Genomic DNA, 18,370 nt, shown 5'->3' on the forward strand with positions numbered 1-18,370 from the left:
GCGAGCTGGCAATGTTTAAATCAGATTCAGTCCCACATATTGCACTCCAAAATTGAACACGGGCTACCATGTCTGGGACAAAGCTGAGAGCATTCAGAGGAGGCTGCCTCTGAAGGGACAAAATTGGAATGCATTTGCTTTAACACACAGGCTTTAATTAGTTGTTACTCATTAGAGGAAATTACATTTCATAGCTTCTAAGAAATAAGGCAAACTTTTTCAAAATTTGATTCCATATCCAGGAGAATCTCTCTCCACAGCTTTTTCATTGAATCATTGTAAAGTCTTCTCTTGCTTTTGTTTGTTTATTAACTTGAGAGGAAAACTGAGTTTGGAAAAGGATGTTGGAGGGACGCAAGTCACAAGAAAGGTTTTCTAGACCCAGGGAAAATATGCTTGAAGAAAAATGTCTCCAACTGGGGTCAGCAGACATTAAATTACAGACATGTGCATGATTTGTCCAGATCGGTTAGAGCATGTTTCTTTGCAGCAATAAAAAACAAGAGACATTAACAAGCCAATTATGTTACATGGAATTAAGTAGCATTCAAACGATGAAAGAGAAAATTAAGGAGCTAACCTTCCACTGCCCAGGCAGTTTGCACGGTCAGTAAAAATGCAAGGCTTCATTTCCACCATCCATGCCTTCAATAGGAGAAGTAACTCTGGTGGCCCATGACCATCATATGCCCTTGGTCAGCTGTCCTGTCAGGACCTACCTGATGGCCTTGGGTGACTTAAATGGCCAGCTAAATGCAATATGTTTTGACTGTGAATCTTGCCTCTCATGGCGGTTCCCTGTCACCTCCCTGATGCAGGCAATGCCATATATCACTGCTTTTCTGCAGGCGCGCCACCCAGATAGCATCTGAAAGATTGTAAACAGGATGATTCACAAACTGGTGGCAGCAGCTAAAAGCAGTGCAGTTCGCGACCCTCAGCACACGCCAAGATTCTAAATGGGATGTTGCGACAACAAAGCAGCCTGAAGATTCTAAAACATAATGGTGTCACCAGGACATTCACAGGGTGCTGTAACCTGTAACTGACAAGCATACTCATCATCATTTCTCCTTGGGCATGCTGCATCCTTGCGCTCCACTGGGCCTCCTGTTGCATTGCTATTTATTTGCATCTACAAGCAGGGGAGCAAGTATGCTGCGGAAATAGCCCCAGAGAGGTGTCTGATTCCCATAGGCCCTTGCAGCCAGCTACAACTGAATGATTTCCGATATCAGTTACTGAAAATTCTGACCATGATATGCAGACCATGGCAGATCTTAATGACAATAACATCATCTCACATTTTGATGGCGTTTAACAGTTTACAAAGTGCTTTCACATACATTATCACATTTAATCCCAGTGAGGTCGATAGTCTTCTTCTCCATTTTATTGGCAGCTTGGTGTAGTGGAAAGAGCTGTGGAATCAGACAGACTTAAGTTCAGATTCTGCCTCTGACTACCAAACCATGGACAATTTGCTTCATTTCTCTCCCTTTTCTTACCTATAGGATGAGGAATCATTTCTATTTCCGAGGTTTGTGGTGAAAATTAAATAACATATGTAAAGACATACAATATAGGGCCCGATGCATAGAAGTACTCGATAACCATTAGTTTCTGTCCACTTACAGAGGAAGAAAATGAAGCTTAAGAGGTTAAGGGAGTTGCTCAAAGTAATAGCTAGTAAATGGCAGAACTGAGACTTCATTTATTTTACAAATATTATTGAACACCTACTATATGCTGGTGCCTTGGGCATAGGAAAGTGGATGAGTCATAATTCTAGTTTTTGAGATGTTCACAGTAGAGCGGTGGAATCTGAAATGCAAATAATCAATTATAATCGAGCGTAATCTGAGAGGCAAAAAGTACTTAGGGAATATCCTAAAGCCATGGGTGCACCCTAGAGTATCTACACAAGAGATAAGTCTGAGGAAGAGGAACCTTCCAGGAGGCAGCAGTAGAGTTACACCTGAAATAAAATGTTGGCAGGTGGATGAGGGTGAGCAAGGAGAGGAGCATTCAGGCGAAGACAACAGTGTGTGCATTCATCAGGAGGGTCAAAGGAGCCTGGCATGTCCACTGCAGCACAGAAGAGAACCTGAGCAGACAGGAGAGAGAAGGGAGAGGAGGAGGCAAGGAAGCAGGAGTGAGAAGAATGAAGGGGCTTGCAGGTAATGCTGAGAAGCGTGCATCTTTGTCAGTCCACACTGGCACAAACTCTGTGATGATTTACAGAGAGAGCCAACCTGGTCAGATTTGCATTTTTGAAATTGTGGCAGCAATGTGAAAGATTGACTAGAGGAGGGGATAATGGAGGCAGTAGTTCAATGAGAGATAATTAGGCTATGAACTAAGAAAGTGGCAGAGCAGACAATTTCAAGCGGTATAGCAGAGGCAGAATTGACAGGATGTGGCCATTAACTGGATGTCAAGACAGGAGAGACAGAGAGAACTCTAGGAGGACTCCCAGGCTATGAGCTTTGGTGGCTGGGCGAACGAAGATGTCCCCCACTGACGTAGAAGGAGAGGACATTTGAAGAGATGATAATAAATTCATGTGGACATGTTGACTCTGAGAGACTCATGGATATCAAGAAGGAGGTGTTCAGTAGACAGCTAAAAATATGAGTCTGGAGTTTGGGAGAGGACTCACAATTAGATGCATTGATCTAGGGATCAATGGTTTTTAGACAATGGTTGAAGCTGTTTTTTTATGCCAAGAGGATAGAGCAAGAAGAAAAGTGGGTCCTGGAGAACTCTAGGGAATATCAATGTTTAGGTGCTAGAATGAGGATTGTTGGAGAGATGGAACTACCAGGAGAAAGGGAGAGCTCAGAGGCCAGGGAAGGCAAGCATTTTTTGATGATGAAAGTAGAGGAAAGTATCAAATTCCACCAAAGGATCAAAGAAGATGAGAACTGAGATATGCCTGGCATTTGGGCAATGATAAGATCACTTTGGCAACTTCAGTTTTAGACAAAGTGGTTAAAAAAGAGGCTTTTTTTTTTCTATGACCCAATATAAGAAAAATATTTTAGGCCAGACATGATGGCTCACACCTGTAATCCCAACACTTTGGGAGGCCTAGGCAGGTGGATCACCTGAGGTCAGGAGTTTGATACCAGCCTGGCCAATGTGGTGAAACCCCGTTTCTACTAATAATACAAAATTTAGCCAGGCATGGTGGCATGTGCCTGTAGTCCCAGCTACCCAGGAGCCTGAGGGAGGAGAATCGCTTGAACCTGGGAGGCAGAGGCTGCAGTGAACTGAGATTGCACCACTGCACTCCAGCCTAGGCAATAGAGTGAGACTCCATGAAAGAAAGAAAGAGAGAGAGAGAGAGAAAAGAAAAGAAAGGAAAGAAAAGAAAGGAGGGAGGGAAGGAGGGAGGGGAAAGAAGGAAGGAAGGAAGGAAGGAAGGAAGGAAGGAAGGAAGGAAGGAAGGAAGGAAGGAAAGAAAGAAAAATATATTTTACATTGTGACCTGAGAAAAACTTTCAAGAAACAATACTTACACTCTGACATGTCATGACGTGTCACACGCCACCTGTTCTGTTCTATTCTATTCTATTCTATTCTATTCTATTCTATTCTATTCTATTCTATTCTATTGCATTCTATTGCATTCTGTTCCATTCCATCCCATTCTATTCAAATGCTGCTTGGCCCTCACTAAATTGATTTTATGACCAACTAGTGAGTTTCAACCTGCAGTTTGAAAAAACAGTAGTTTAGACAAATACAGTTTTCTCACACAAAAATTATATGGAGCAAAGTGTGGGATAGAAGAAAGAACATTGGATTTTGAGTGAAGACACCTGATTTTCAGCATGACTCATTTACTTACTGACTGTGTGACCTTAGATGTGCCCATTAACCTTTGTGTGTCTCTTCTATTACCTGTAAAATTCAGATAATAGATCAGCTGCAAAGGGATCTTCTGGGGATCAAATGAGATAAAATGCATGAATGCAAAAAGCATAAGCCTAAAATAGTCCTGGTCAAAGTAAAATTACCATAATCAAAGAAAGAGCAGAATGGTGCATGGTGTATCCCAGTTGGCTCTGGGTCTGTCATCTGAATCCTAGAGCCACATCTCTCCAGAACATACTGAGAACCAGAAATGGGATCAAAATAATTTAACCAATCAAAACAGGTGTTGCTGCTATATTTATAAAATTCACAAAATTTACTGACACAGAAGCCCGTGTGAAATCCCATCAGAATCATTGTAGTCTTGTTCTAATACTATTGTAGCCATGTTGATTTTCTGATCTATATCTATGGACCTGTATCAGAAGGACATTCAATAAAATCCTATTGGAAGAGGAGCTGATAGAGGCAAGTATTTTCGCTACAGTGTGACATGACAGCAAACAGACTGCAGGGAAACAGCAAGATGAAATCATTTAATATAGGCAATATGTAAACTTCAGCAGACCCTGGTGATATCACTGTATTAAGGTATAATACAATAACTGATTTTTATGGTTCATTCAACAAACTACTGTGTTTGAGTACTCAATATATGTACTAATCTAGGTGCAAGGAAGACACAGATAAACTGGGGATGTTTCCTAACCCTAAAAAGTGAGCACACAGATGAGTGAGACAGACACATACACAGATAATTTCCACTAACATGGTACAGTGAAGAAAAATATGCATCTGAGCATGATATGATATTAATATGTCATGAGAGAAAAGAAGAAGAGCAGCTAGCCCAAAGTGGAAGTGGAATTCAGGTAATGCTTCTTGAAGGTCATTTGCCCAAGATGAGTCTTGATGAAGATAAAGAAAGATGGGGAAACAATTCAGAATGATGGAATAGCCTGAGAAAGGCATGAAAGTATGAAACCTTGCATAGTGTAGATAATATTTCTAGATCATAAAAAAGACAAGTACAGGCTATACTTAAGAGGTAGGTATGGTCCTCAATACTGAGAGTCTTCTATACCAGGTTAAGATGTGTAGAGGACATCACATTGACCAGAGGAAGCCACTAATAGGGATTGATTACTCTGGAAGCCTTATGGAGGAGGAATTTAAAAATGGATTAGGCACGTAAGTTAGGGAACAATTGCAGTGGTTCAGGAGAGACATATTGAGGGTATGAAGGAGAGAAGCAGTAATATGGATGAAGAAGAGGGGTTATATTTGAAAAATATTTTTGATACTATATTTAGATGTGAAGGCTGAGGCCAGGTAATAAATGCTCCACTTCAGGGACAAAAACATGACCTAGACTCCCCAATAGTATTCACTTTCTTGAGTTCATGATTGAGTCTAGAGAAATTAATACATCTCTACAAGGCATTATAGTATGAGGTAGAAGATGCTAAGTGTTGAAAGAAAGGCACAGACATATGGTTATGGGAGTTAGAGGAAAGAGGCATAAATTCCAACTGAGAGTTTTAGGGAAGTCTTCCTGGAAGAAGAGGCATGCAAGGCAGATCTTGAAAGATGGTTAAGATTTTGCCATGAGTTGATGAGAAGAAAGTGCATTTCTGATAAAGGAATAATCTGAGAAGACATAGGATGAAAGATGGTGTCATTTTGAGCTAAAAACACAGGCTCTGGAGTCACACAAAGTTGGGACCAAACTTTGGCTCTGTCACATTCTAATCACAAAATTGGGGATAATTTAATTGACACTTCAGAGCCTCGGCTCCTCATTTGTACGACAGTTATGACTATCATTTATCTTATGGGATTATTGTGAGGATTTTTTCCTATTAAACTTGATTTATTGATTACAATGAAATTGACTTACCTCCGAGTTTTATACTTTCATGTGTTTTTGTATCACTAATTTTTTATTCAGCTTGGAGCATTCTCTTTAGCATTTCTTGTAAGACAGGTCTAATGGTGATGAACTCCCACAGCTTTTGTTTGTCTGAAAAAGTCCTTATCTCTCCTTCATTTCTGAATGACTACCTTGCCAGATATAGTATTCTTTGTTGGCTGTTGTTGTTGTTGTTTACCTTTAGTACTTTTTTTTCCTTCTCCTCTTTTAGGGAATTTATTTTAAACCTATTATACTACACAATATGTTTTAAACACTGACATATAACTTCCTAATAAGATAGAGCTAAGATAGAGCAAAGACAAAAAAAGTTTATCTTATTGGAAACAAGATACAGCATCATTTATAGTCATTGTCAAACATTACTGCACTTTAACTTTCATAATTTGACAAAGCATTCATGAAACAATCTGCAGACTAGTTTTAAAAGACAAATACCTGTAGACAGACATGACTGTCCTAAGTTGTTTATTATGTAGGAATTTTATGAACTTTACTTATATTAGTGGTAACGGTAGAGCTGGAAAGTATTGTGCCTTCTCCAAGTTGCCCAGCGAGAACCACCAAGAGTGTGGTGGAATTTATGGCCCTTTCCAAGGCCATGGCTCTTTCAGCCTGCAGATGTCAACCCATGCATCTCCCTGTGCTTGCGAACTGGTTTGGTGATTCACTGGGTGTCAGGATTTCTTCTGATAGCTTTATGGAATGGATCAATTAGGATAACCTCCAAAAATTTGTACGTGGAATCTTCACCAACCCAGTTAGAATTCAAGACTCTTAAAGCTCCACAGTGGTGTCCAGCTTACTCCTCTGCAGTGGACTGAAGGCTTCAAGCAAACCCTAGCTGGTTAACATCATGGTCGACAGGCTTGCCATAAGTTGCACCCTTAGGAACTGGGCATTTTTGGCCACCATGGCGCATACAAATCCTATATATAATGTAACTTTGCTTGGCCTTGTAGCCCAGTTGGCATGCTTTATCAGGCCAGGTGGGGTGGGGATTCCTGTGCAGAGCAGAGAGCCAGCAGTACTGCCAACAGCCGACCTTCAGAAGAAAGTGCAAGACATCAGACTGCCTCTTCCATAGCTCCTGGATGTATTTGTATGCACCCATCTTGGTTTACCTGATGGCACCAGACAGAAAGTCTCCTTTAGTACTTTGAATATATCATCTCACTTTCTCCTGGTCTGCAGTTTCTGCTCAGAAATTCACAGATAGTCTTATGAGCGTTCTCTTGTATGTAATTTTTGTTTTCCTCTTGCTTCTTTCAAAATTCTCTTTTGTTTTTGACTTTTGGGAGTTTGGTTATGTGACTTGGTGAAAATCTATTTACATATTTATTTATTTATTTATTTGCTGCCTGGTCAGTAAGTTTATTGTATTTATCTGAAAAATCCTCATAGAAAATTACTTGACTTAGCTCTCAGCAGCCCACTCCTGGGCTCTGAGGAAGCCTGCCTTGTTTTGAGGTCCCTGATTTTTCTTCTGGGCAAGAGACATTTTGGGATGGTTCCACCTCTTCTTTTTAGCCTATTTATTGGGCTTCTTCTCATAAACTGGGTTCTTTTACATAGCAGCAAGAGCTTTCTTATACAACTCCTCCATCAGGTCTGGGGTTATGTTGTTCTTTATGTATTGAGAGAACTGTTTCTTATAAGCAGCTTTGTCATCTTTCATTAGGTAACACATGTAATCTGCAGCATTCTAACCAGTGATATTCTTCTGATGTATGTCAGCATTAAATTCCTTGCTTTCAGAATCATAACCAGGGAATCATTTGGTACTGTGAGGGATAGACAAGCCTCACATGAATACTCATCATGCATATATTTGTTCACATGATGGTGTCCTAAAATTTCTGTAGGCTATCTTTACTCTTTTTCTTTTTCTTTTCCATTTTGTTCCTCTGGGCAATTTCAAATGACTTGTCTTTGAGCTCACTGATTCTTTCTTCTGTTTGATCAAATCTGTGGTTGAAGCTCTCTATAAAATTTTTCAGATCGGTCATTGGATTCTGCAGCTCCAGAATTTGTCTTTGATCCTTTTTCATGGTTTGTACCCTTCGTTGAACCTCTCATTTAGTTTGTATATTGTTTTCCTGATTTTGTTTCTGAATTCTCTTATAGCTCATGGGGCTTCTTTAAGACTCTTATTTTGAATTCTTTGTCAGGAAGTCTATAAATCTCCATTCTTTAGAGTCAGTTACTGGTGCTTTATTTTGTTTCTTTGGTGGTGTCATGTTTACCCAATTGTTCATGATATTTGTGGCTATGCAGTGGTGTTTGCACATTTGAGAATGTAGGCACTTATTCCAGTCTTTAGAAACTGATGTCATCAGGAAAAGACCTTCACAAGTCAGCTCATCCAGAGATTCTAGGCAAGCCATCTGACACGATTTGTAGGTGAGCTTGCTGCTAGAGGCTTAGGCAGGCTGGTCTGATGCCTGAGTGAGCAGATGGGCAGGTCTGGTGCCTGAATCCATGGCGACGAGCCTGGAACTTAGATCCACCAGGGCAGCCCTAGAGTTTGGGTCTGCTTGGGGGTGGGCCTGGAGCCTGGGTCATTGGCCTGAAGCCTGGGTCCATAAGGGTGGGCCTAACACCTGTATCCACAGGAGCCAATTTGAAGCTTAGGTCCACAGGAGCTGATGTGATGCTGGGGCAGGCTTTGAACCTGAGTCTGCCACGGCCGACCAGGAGCTGGGATGGACCTGAACCCTGAGCCCGTGGGGATAAGTCTGAAGCCCGAATCTGTGAGTGCCAACCTGATCCTGGGACACAGTGGGCTTGAGTCAATAGGGGCCAGCCTGGACCTGAGGAGGTCCTGGAAGCCAGGCCTGTGGGCCCTGACCTGGAGTATTGGTCTGTGGGGGCTGACCTGGGTGCTGGGGATGTAAACCTTGGGCCACTAGGGTCAGCCTGACAGTGGGGCAGACCTGAAGTTTGAGGCAGGTCTGGAGCCTGAGTCTTTGGGGGCTGGCCCAGCACTGGGGTAAACCTGAAGGCTGAGTCTATGAGAGCTGGTCCACAGCCTGGGGCTGCTGGGGCTGGCCTGGCATAAAAGTAGGCCTAGAGGCTTGGTCTGTGGTGCTGGCCTGTAATCTAGAGCCACGGAAACCTGTTTCATGCTTGGTTTGACTGGGGTGAGCCCAGTATTGGGATCTGAGCCAAAGTCATGTGCTTGCTTCACTCTCCTTCCCCAAGCAGAGAGCATCTCTCTGTGCTGCCTGAAGTTGGAGATGGAGTTGATGCAGGTAATGTGAAACTATCCTTCCTGCCCTCTCAAGTGTGTCTTTTAAAAATCTCTGTGCTGCACCCAGGTGCTGCAATCTCTCACCTGCTTTCCTTCGCTCTGTGAAGGTATCATGCATGTATAGCTATTCAAACTAGACCAGTTTCTAAAGACTGTTTCTGTGAGAGGATGAGCACCAGAAAGTCCTATTCCACCATCTTGCTGATGTCACTCCTGTTGCAAGTATTTAATGAAGTAATGTATATAACTGTGTTTGGCTCAAAGTAAGCAATCAATACCTGTTAGCTGTTATTCAATTATGATGATGAAGTAACAGGGAGGGGAGATTAGGTCAGGAATTGTCATGGAAGGGAGAATGCATATAATGCAGAACCAAATAGAGAGAGTGAAGGTGGACCAGAGAGTCTCTCAAGGCTTAGGGCTAGGGTAAGAAACTTGAACTTTATGGAGTTGGTGATAGGAAGCCGCTGAGGACTTATGCATGGGATTGAGGAGTTGAGCTGTGTTGACTAAGATTAATCAGCAGCCATATTAAAGATGCTTTAGAGTAATGAGGGACTAAAAGCATGAAGACTATTTATAAAATTATCATAAGACTTCTTCCTTTGCCCATTGGCTGATGAAAAAAAATAAAGAAAAAATTATCATAAGACCTCAGATGAGAGGCAATGAAGGTCTGAATTGGTGTAGGGTTAGTAAGAAGGGAGCGGAAATCTTAAACATGTGGGAAGTTGTTACAGTGAAATAAGGGGAGCTATCAAAGATACCTAAGTTTGCAATTATGATTACTAGAATGAGAATTCATAAATATTAACAATATAGTAGCACATATTAAGAAGACTAGAGGAGAAGTGGGTCAAGAAAGGAGTTACAGGAGTCAGGAAATAGAGCAAAATGGTGGTTTCAGAGACTGTCAATTGTCCCAATATTCATTCCCTTCTATGTTGTATAGTTGGCCACCCAGCTAGAGACTTTATTTTTCAGGCTCCCTTGTAACTGGGTATTGCTATGTGATTAAGTTTTCATCAATGAGATGTGAACAGAGTGATGTGTACCACTTCTAGGTTGTTTCCTTAAAAAAAAAAAAGGAGGGGGGAGGCTACTTGTTTTTCATTCTTCTTTCCAGTTCCTGAAGGTCTGTACAGGAAAGTGGCATGCAGGATTCAGATTCCACCACGCAGGCAAAGGCAACATCCAAAGCAGTGGTATTGGGATAGCATGGACCCTAGCAGAGCTATTCCCACTCCCATAGCCCTCAGACCTCTACCAGCTCAGATTTTCACACAAGAGAGAAATAAACCTTGTGTATTGTTGAGACCATGTTATTTCGGCTTACGTTAAAGCAGCTGTAACAGTACGCTAACTAATAGAGAGATGATGCATTTATGGCATAGCAGAATGTGGAGGTGGCCAGGAGAGAGTTTGGATAGAGGCACTATAGCCATAGAGATAGGCTGAGGTGGAGATGTCCATCTAAGAGTCATCTGGATGATAATGATGATTTAAACCATCTAATGAATGAGATTGCTAAGGGAAACACTGGTGAGAAAGGAGAAGGATTGCTAAGGCAAACATTGGTGCGAGAGGACCACAGAGAACCCAGACAGTGCATATGGTAGGTGGAGGGAGGAAGAAAAGGAACAGAGATCGAGATGGAAACAGAGATAGATATGGATAGGCAGTAAGTTACGAAGGAAGACAAGAAAGCAGAGGAGACTAATGAATGGCAGGGGCAGTAGGGGGAGTTTTTTTCCATGAGAAAGATTGGCCAACAATGTCAAATTCTGCAGAGAGATCACAGAGGATCAGAACTGAGAAAAGGTCACAGAGTTTGGGGAATTTGAGTTTACTTATGGCAGGCGGTGATCTAGAACAAGTCAAATTATGTTCAAAATAATCTGCTTTAAAAGACAGGACATTTTATAGTAAAATTTACAGATCAATCTAAAATTAATTTTTTAAAAGTAGAGGGCAAATAATATATGTGTCTATCTTCCCCTCATGCAGTAGAGCTCAATCCTGCCTTCCTTTCTACTCCCCACCCAATATAAGTTGGAGTTAGTGACTGGCTTCCACAGGAAAGAACACAGAAAGGGCAAAAAAACAGTGACTTTACAGTTTAGAAACTTGATAAACACTATCTACTTCAACCAAGTGATGAAGGTCAACAGCAGCAGTGGTAAGTCACATGGATATAATGCACCCCCTGATATGATGTGATGAGAAGGGCAATTCAGCCCGGTGGTAGGCTTTCTCCAAGCCCATAACCCCAGTTTAAACAGGAGAAAAACATCAGACATACTCAAATTGAAGGACATTCCACAACATAACTGACCAGTATCCTTCAAAACTGCCAAGGTCATGAAAAACAAGGAAAGACAGAGAACCTGTCACAGACCAGCGACTAAGGAGACATGATGACTAGGTGCCACGGGGCACCCTAGATGGGATCCTTAAACAGAAAAAAAAATGATCAATAATGGAAAAACTGATGCAATTCAAATAAAATCTGGAGTTGACAGTATTGTGCCAATGTTAATTTTTAGTTTTGACAAATATTTCATGGGTATGTAAGATGTTAACAAAGAGCAAACTGGATGAAAGATATACTCTCTCTACTTACTATCTTTGTAACTTTTATGGAAATCTAAAATGATTGCAAGATGGAAAGTGTATTTTTTAAAAAGTATAAGGCAAGGGCAGAGCTTTGTGATAGTGACTTCTAGGAATAAGCAAGGTGGAAACAGAAAATATCTGGTCTCCCAGTTCCCCACCCTTCCCCTCCTCCTTCTCCCTAAGAAAAGTTTTTCCATTAGTCCATTATTATGGTACAATGGAATGTTCAATTTCACACTGCGGGTGACATTCCATGCCAACTAGAATAGTTAATGCAACTTTACATTTATGACTCTGCTTGGGTGTGAATTATTGTGTTTATGAAAATCTCCATATTAATGTCTGATTGTAAATCATTCTGCCGGCTCCTTTTATTAATAGCTCAATTCCCACTACTCACTGCTGCAAGCCATTCAAATTACCACAACTGTACAAGAAAGGGGCTGCTTCGCATTTGTTTACCATCTACATCCAACCATCCTGGGCTTTGCTCTGAAGCCCCATCCTCTGAACTGCTCAAGCCAGTTGTTTTTGACTGGGTTTCTTTGTTGGTGAGTTTGAGCAGCTTCTCTGAGAAGTAGCATTTCTTACTCTATGTCCCTACATTTTCTGCTCTTTAGAAATACTCACTGGAAAGTGGCTTTGGCATGGATTCTGAAGTCAGACAGATTTGGGTTCAAATCAATGATCTTAGTAAGTCATTTAACCTCTTTGAGCCCCAGTTTTCTCATCTACAGTGGGAATCATAACACATATGTTGTAGAGCAGTATGAAAATTAAATATGATGATGTATGTAAAGTTGTTAGTACAGTTCCTGGCACATAGAAAGTGCTCAAGGGTCCTTTTGTTATGGTAATTATACCAACAATAATGCTAACAATATTAACAGCGGATATAGTAGAAAGGATTTGAGGCTGGCAGCTGGAAGGCCTGCGTTCTGGTTCCAGTTTGTCTACATACTAGAAAGATGATCTTTGGAAAGTCGCTTCAAATCTCTGGTCTTCTCTTAGTTGTCTCATCTGTAAATGGGGAAGCAGCCTTTCTTAGAGCCTTCCAGGGCTCCAGAACGGGTAGTCCCACATGAGAGGTGTGTCCACCTTTATTCCTGCTTCCACCCCTTCCCCCAACCCCAACCCCACTGCCAGTTCTTTTTCCTTGGGTCAGACAGTGCCTCATTGGAGGTGACAGAGTCTTCCGGAAGGGGCCAGCCCGGGCTTTCTCGTGCTTCCTCATAGAATAGCTCAAATCAGACCCCATACCCCAGCCCCCTTACTGGCAGAAGGGGAAATATGAAATATCAGCAGGCAAGGAGGTTTTTTATGCTTCTGTAAATCATTAAAGTGGCCAATATTTTCCTTTGCTGCACTTCTCTCACCTCACAATATTTTTTTTCCTGCAGTGAAATCCATTCCCCCAGCCTGGAAATGTGGGCACTTTATAGAAAATCTTTAGCTTGTACCAGCACAAATGGATGGGTCTTATTTCCTGTCTGCAGTTCATGGTGTTGCAAAGGCATTGCCAAAAACTATTGACTGAGACATAAAAGCAAAAAATGGATGGAAATGAATGTGGGCACGTTCACATGTACATTTACAAACATGATCAAGTCCATACTTAAAGAAAAAGATTCCACAAAGTGACCTCCTAATTCATAGCCCATGCTCAGGACCTCTTCTTCATGGGAGAAAGAAAAGGGGGGTATTACCAGGCAATGTGATTTGATAAGCCAGGGAAGGCCTTAGACCCCTAATATTTCCCCCTGATCCTTGTGCTCTGATGTTGGATATGGCATTACTAGAGATCTATCCACTGTGTAATTTTAAACATACGAAGAGAAAAACATGTTGAACTCTCTGGGATTCTCTTTTAATGTGATACTTCCTAATAACACTTGTACTTTATGGTTTTAAAAGGACTTGATATTTTGGTATATATAATGTCACAGATGATCTTCACAGAAAATTTGTGAGTTAACTCCCATTGTATAGATGATGAAACTGAGGTCCACAGGGATGGGGTGACTTATTAAATATCACATAAGTAGGGAGTAAGACAGCTGGGCTCAAGCACAGTCTCTTGAATCTGGTCCCAACACTCTTTCCACTCTATCACATTGCCTCCTGGGAGTATCCTGAAATAGAGAGATAATTAACCTCACGAGTGAGGCTTCTTTCTGATCAGAGGGCTCCTGGTCTGTGTGGGAAAAAAAAAAAAAAAAGCAATGGAGCCCAAGCAGCAGGGAAGAGGGGGCATTGACAGAGAGGGGGGTGCACAGCCCTTTGTAGGGGTACAAATGTCGCTCACTTCATTTACACCCACCCTGTCTGCAGAGTCCAACAGAATAGTCAGGAGTCCCTGAGTTTGGGCATTCTGCTACGTCAAATCCACCTGCACCATTTATTTACTCCCTGTGTGACCTATTTGTGCCCCATTTCTTTGTCTTTGGAAATGGAATGATTATATTAATCCCACTGGGTACTGTGAAGATCACTGAGGTATAATAGATGATGCAAAGAAGTCACTTCCTCCCTCCCTTCCTCTCTCTCCCTCCCTCCCTCTCTCTCCCTCCCTCCCTGTTTCCTTCTTTCATTCCCTCCTTGCTTCCGTCCCTTCTTTCCCTCCTTTCTTTCCTCCTTCCCTTCCTCCTTCCTCTCTCCCTACTTCCTTCCTTCCCTCTTTCCTTGCTTCCTTCCTTCTTTCCCTACTTCTTTCCCTCCTTCCGTCTCTCCTTCCCTCCCTCCCTCCTTCTTTCCTTTCCTCCTTCCCTCCTTTCTTCCCTCTTTTCCTTCTATCATGCCTTTCCTCTGTTCTCTTTGCACTATTTGGTAGCTTGGAACCCAAATAACCTGAATCACCTCATTTGAGGAGCCGAAATTGTCCGATGTCCCTCCCCTCCCTGGGCAGCATGCACCAGTCTTGTCCTCTGGGAGGTGTAGTCCATGGGGCCACAGCTCTCACAGGCAGAAGCCTGTAGGCCAGGCCCATGTATGGGCATTCAGCACTGGCTACACGAATTCAAATTGAGGGACTTCCTGGACATCCTCTCATCTGCGACAGACCAAACAACCTCCCGGTGCCTCGCCTGCTGTGGGTGAGGCCTCCTTCCCGGGCTCAGGCCTGCAGGCTCTGCCCAAGCACTGCCCCCTTGCTTCCTCCATGGTAAGTAAACTCCCCAGAAGAGGAATCTTAGTGCCTGGTGCTAAAGAACCCCCAAAACAGAGGCGGGCTCGGAGCCCCTGCTTCGAGAGTCGACACAGTTCCTTCGGTGGCGGGGCCGGGCAGCTCAGGCCTGGCACCATGATACCTTGCTCAGTGCTGGGTGCCGCCTTGGCCCTTCCCCTGGCCCCGAGCTTATATTTTCCCCACCTTCTTCCTGACTTCCCACTTCCATCCCACTCTCAGCGCCACCTCCACCCCATCACATCCCCCTTCCCTGGACGGCACAGATTCTCCAGAGGTGTGGGGACAGTGGCTGTTTTATTTTTGTTCCTCCTTAGATGTTCTGTTTGTTGAGCGAATTATTTTCTTCCTGGCTCCGAGCTGGCGGCTGACACGGCTCACCCGCGCTAATTAGCTAAGCCAGCTGGTGCGTTGGTAAGGTTTTTCTGTGCTCCTCGGTGTGTGTTTCTTTTTTTAAACATGATCAATACCCTGTCCGGCTGGGCTCCCTCACACACTCCCTATTGTTCTCCTGTTTGCATTGTGCCTGAGTCCTGGTCAAGGACTCGGGGAGCCTCGGAAGACACGCTTTTCCCGCGGCTGGCGTTCAGCCTGGAGCCGGGGAGACACCGCGCAGCAGATGTGGCTCGACCCCCTGCTCCGCGCCTGCAGCTTGCAGTGATTTTCCGTAGCTGTGGACAGTGCCTCAGGAAGCCCACATGGATGCCAGACAGTCGGGTAAAGATGAGAAATTGCTGTGTGGCTCCGGGGCAGATTGCCTTGCCTCTCTGAGCCTCTGCTTCTTTCTTTGTAAAAGAAGTCGGTTCCCAGTTCCAGTGTGAGTCTCCTACATACTATGATTCTCAAAGGTTTCAAAGGGCATCCGGAGATGGGGGCCCTCCCCGTGAGTAGGGGTACAAGGTCACAAACAGGATCTTGTTCACTCCTGCTGCAGTCCTGGAGTTAAACAATATAGACCTTTGCCAAGTGAGCTCCGGAAGAGGCCACAACCAGACAGGGGTGGGCTGAAGGCCCGACCCCCCTCCTCCAGCTGGTGCTGTCCTCCCCACAGTTCCCTGGAGTCTGCCTGCTTATTTTGTGCAAGAGACACAAGAAGATTCTCTGAAGCTCTCCCTTCCCCACTGTCGTTCAGCTGTAGTGATTGGGAGCCCACAATGTGCACTGCGGAGAAGATAGCTCCAACATGTTTTTAATATGTATGTATATATTTTGTATATATAGAGTTGACCATTGAACAATACGGAGGTTGGGGCACCAACTCCATATGCCATCAAAAATCCACATATAACTTTTAACTCTCACGGAACTTAACTACGAAAAGCCTATTCTTGATTGAATGCCTTCCCAATAACATAGTCAGTTAGCACATATTTTGTGTGTGTATTATATACTGTATTCTTACAATAAAGTAAGCTAAAGAAAGAATGCTATTAAGAAAATCATAATGAAGAGAAAATGTATTTACTATTCATTAAGTGGAAGTGGATCATCATAAAGGTCTTCATCTTCAATGTCTTCATGTTGAGTAGGCTGAGGAGGAGGAGGAAGAGGAGGCGTTTGTCTTGCTGTCTCAGGGTAGCTAAGACAGAAGAAAATCCATGTATAAGTGGGCCCACACAGCTCACAGCTCAAGCCCTTATTGTTCAAGGGTCAACTCTGTATGTGTGTGTGTGTGTGCGTGTGTGTGTGTGCGTGTGTGTGTGTGTAAATATAAAGTTTTTTTGGTAAACAGTTGCTAGTTCAAATATGATTTTATTCACAAATTATTCTGGGGTTTAGATTTTTCCTGCTGCCTTCTTTGGATTAATAGTGTCTTTTGAAAAATCTCTGACATACCAGGGGCTGGAGAGATTTTCTGGTTCCTCTCTAAGCTAATGAAAATTTCTTTTCTATTTTCAAAAAGAAAAATGGTGATAATAACAACTCATCTTCATTGATAACTTAGTGTGTGCTGGACATCATGCCAAACATGTAACGTAAGCTATTTTAGTAATCCTTGTGATATATGTATGTCATCCTTATTTTGCAAAAGCTCAGAGAGGTTAAGGAACTTGTCTAAGACCACACAGGTAGCAAGGAGGGAAGCACAGAAGGAGGTCCTGGCCATTCTCTTCATAGCTTCAGAGAACCTTCTCTCCTGCACCTTCTCCTTGGTCCCTGGTTTTAATGTTTGGCAACACTGACTGCCAAGAAATCCATCGCATCTGGTAATGACATGGAAGAGTGGAGACAGGACACTGGCCTCAAGGCCAAGTCCATGTTTCCAGCCCTGACTCTATGACCTCCTGCCAAAACAAACAAACAGAAAAAGAAAAAAAAAACTTAATAAGCTTTCCAAACCTCTTTTATCCTCTTCACAAAATTACTATAAAAATGAAGAAGATAATATTCATGAAAATACTCTGAAAATTATAAAGCACTGTAGGAATATTTAGTATCATGTTTCGTTTTGACACTGGCCAAGACAGAGACCAGAGTTACCTCTATGCATGGAATAAGTTCCTTCATCCCTTAGCAATGCCTGCATCTCCTCCATCAGCCCTGCCGCTGCAACGGAGGTGTGAGTGTTAAGCTTCCCCTGGCACCGATCTCTGCAGCAATCTCCAGCTCCTTTCCTCCCAAGGCTCCCTCTGGACTTAGAGGAGGCCGGAATGGCTGAGTCAGCTGCATTTCCTTCTGTCTCAGGGATCCCTTAAACCTGTTACTGAAATTGGCTCCGTGGTACCTGCAGGTTTGCTTGCCATCCAGCAAGTCCCCTGGGGTGGCCCCATTAATCACATTTGCTCTCTTTCCCCTCTCCAGCTGGCTCTGAGGACAGCAGGTAGGTGTGTGGAGCCTCTGTGTGTAGGTGTGCGTATGAATTCGTTTGTCCCCTGGGAGCAGCTGGAGACTAAGTTTCCCTGCAATAAAAGTGAGTTAGTTGCTTCTTTCCTGATAACCATAATCCATTCCACTTCTTCCAAGGAAATGACAGGCCCCCAGGTGATGCATCCCCATGACTGGGAGAAATTGGCTATTTTAGTCCTCTTCGAACATGGAGCAAGTTCTTGGAGCTGTCCTGCGGCAGCCTGCCAGGCCTTTCTGCTATTAAGAACACCCTATTCTAGTTTATTCCCTGGTTTCTGGGCTCCCCACAATGATCTATATGAGTTTCAGAGCTCAGGAGACACCCTGCACTGCTCTGCCTGCAAGCTGGGCCATTCTTGGAGGTGGGATATACCAGAGCTTTTCAAACGTCTCCACCCAGCAAAGTTCCCTCTGGCAGAGGAGCCTGAGAGTGTCCTCCAGGGAGGCTGGGGGCAGCGCCTGAAGCAGCCCCACCACAGCACATCTCTTTGAAGTCTTATGTTTTATCTCAGGAATTCACGTGAATTCTGCATTCTATTCCATAATACATATGTTTGTTTTAATATAAAAATGTTTTAACCCCAAATCTTCAAATAAAATCAATGCCCCAGGAAGATATAACTTGTTTATTCTATACCTTTAAACTGCCTAGTTTGCC

General features: G+C 43.1%; 1 pseudogene, besides 2 other annotated features; it reads right to left on the minus strand.

Moving 5' to 3' along the window:
- Positions 6,013 to 6,960, minus strand: RPL15P15 (ribosomal protein L15 pseudogene 15; annotated as a pseudogene).
- Positions 8,031 to 8,532: an enhancer, noted in NCBI's record as "H3K4me1 hESC enhancer chr11:115822621-115823122 (GRCh37/hg19 assembly coordinates)". NCBI's record gives its function as "activates a minimal SCP1, AML or CMV promoter by ChIP-STARR-seq in naive and primed H9 embryonic stem cells {active_cell/tissue: H9 hESC(naive and primed)}" and the evidence as "EXISTENCE:reporter gene assay evidence [ECO:0000049][PMID:30033119]".
- Positions 8,533 to 9,032: an enhancer, noted in NCBI's record as "H3K4me1 hESC enhancer chr11:115823123-115823622 (GRCh37/hg19 assembly coordinates)". NCBI's record gives its function as "activates a minimal SCP1, AML or CMV promoter by ChIP-STARR-seq in naive H9 embryonic stem cells {active_cell/tissue: H9 hESC(naive)}" and the evidence as "EXISTENCE:reporter gene assay evidence [ECO:0000049][PMID:30033119]".

The sequence above is a fragment of the Homo sapiens genome, chromosome 11, assembly GCF_000001405.40.
Source record: "Homo sapiens chromosome 11, GRCh38.p14 Primary Assembly".
NCBI classification, from domain to species: Eukaryota; Metazoa; Chordata; class Mammalia; order Primates; family Hominidae; genus Homo; species Homo sapiens.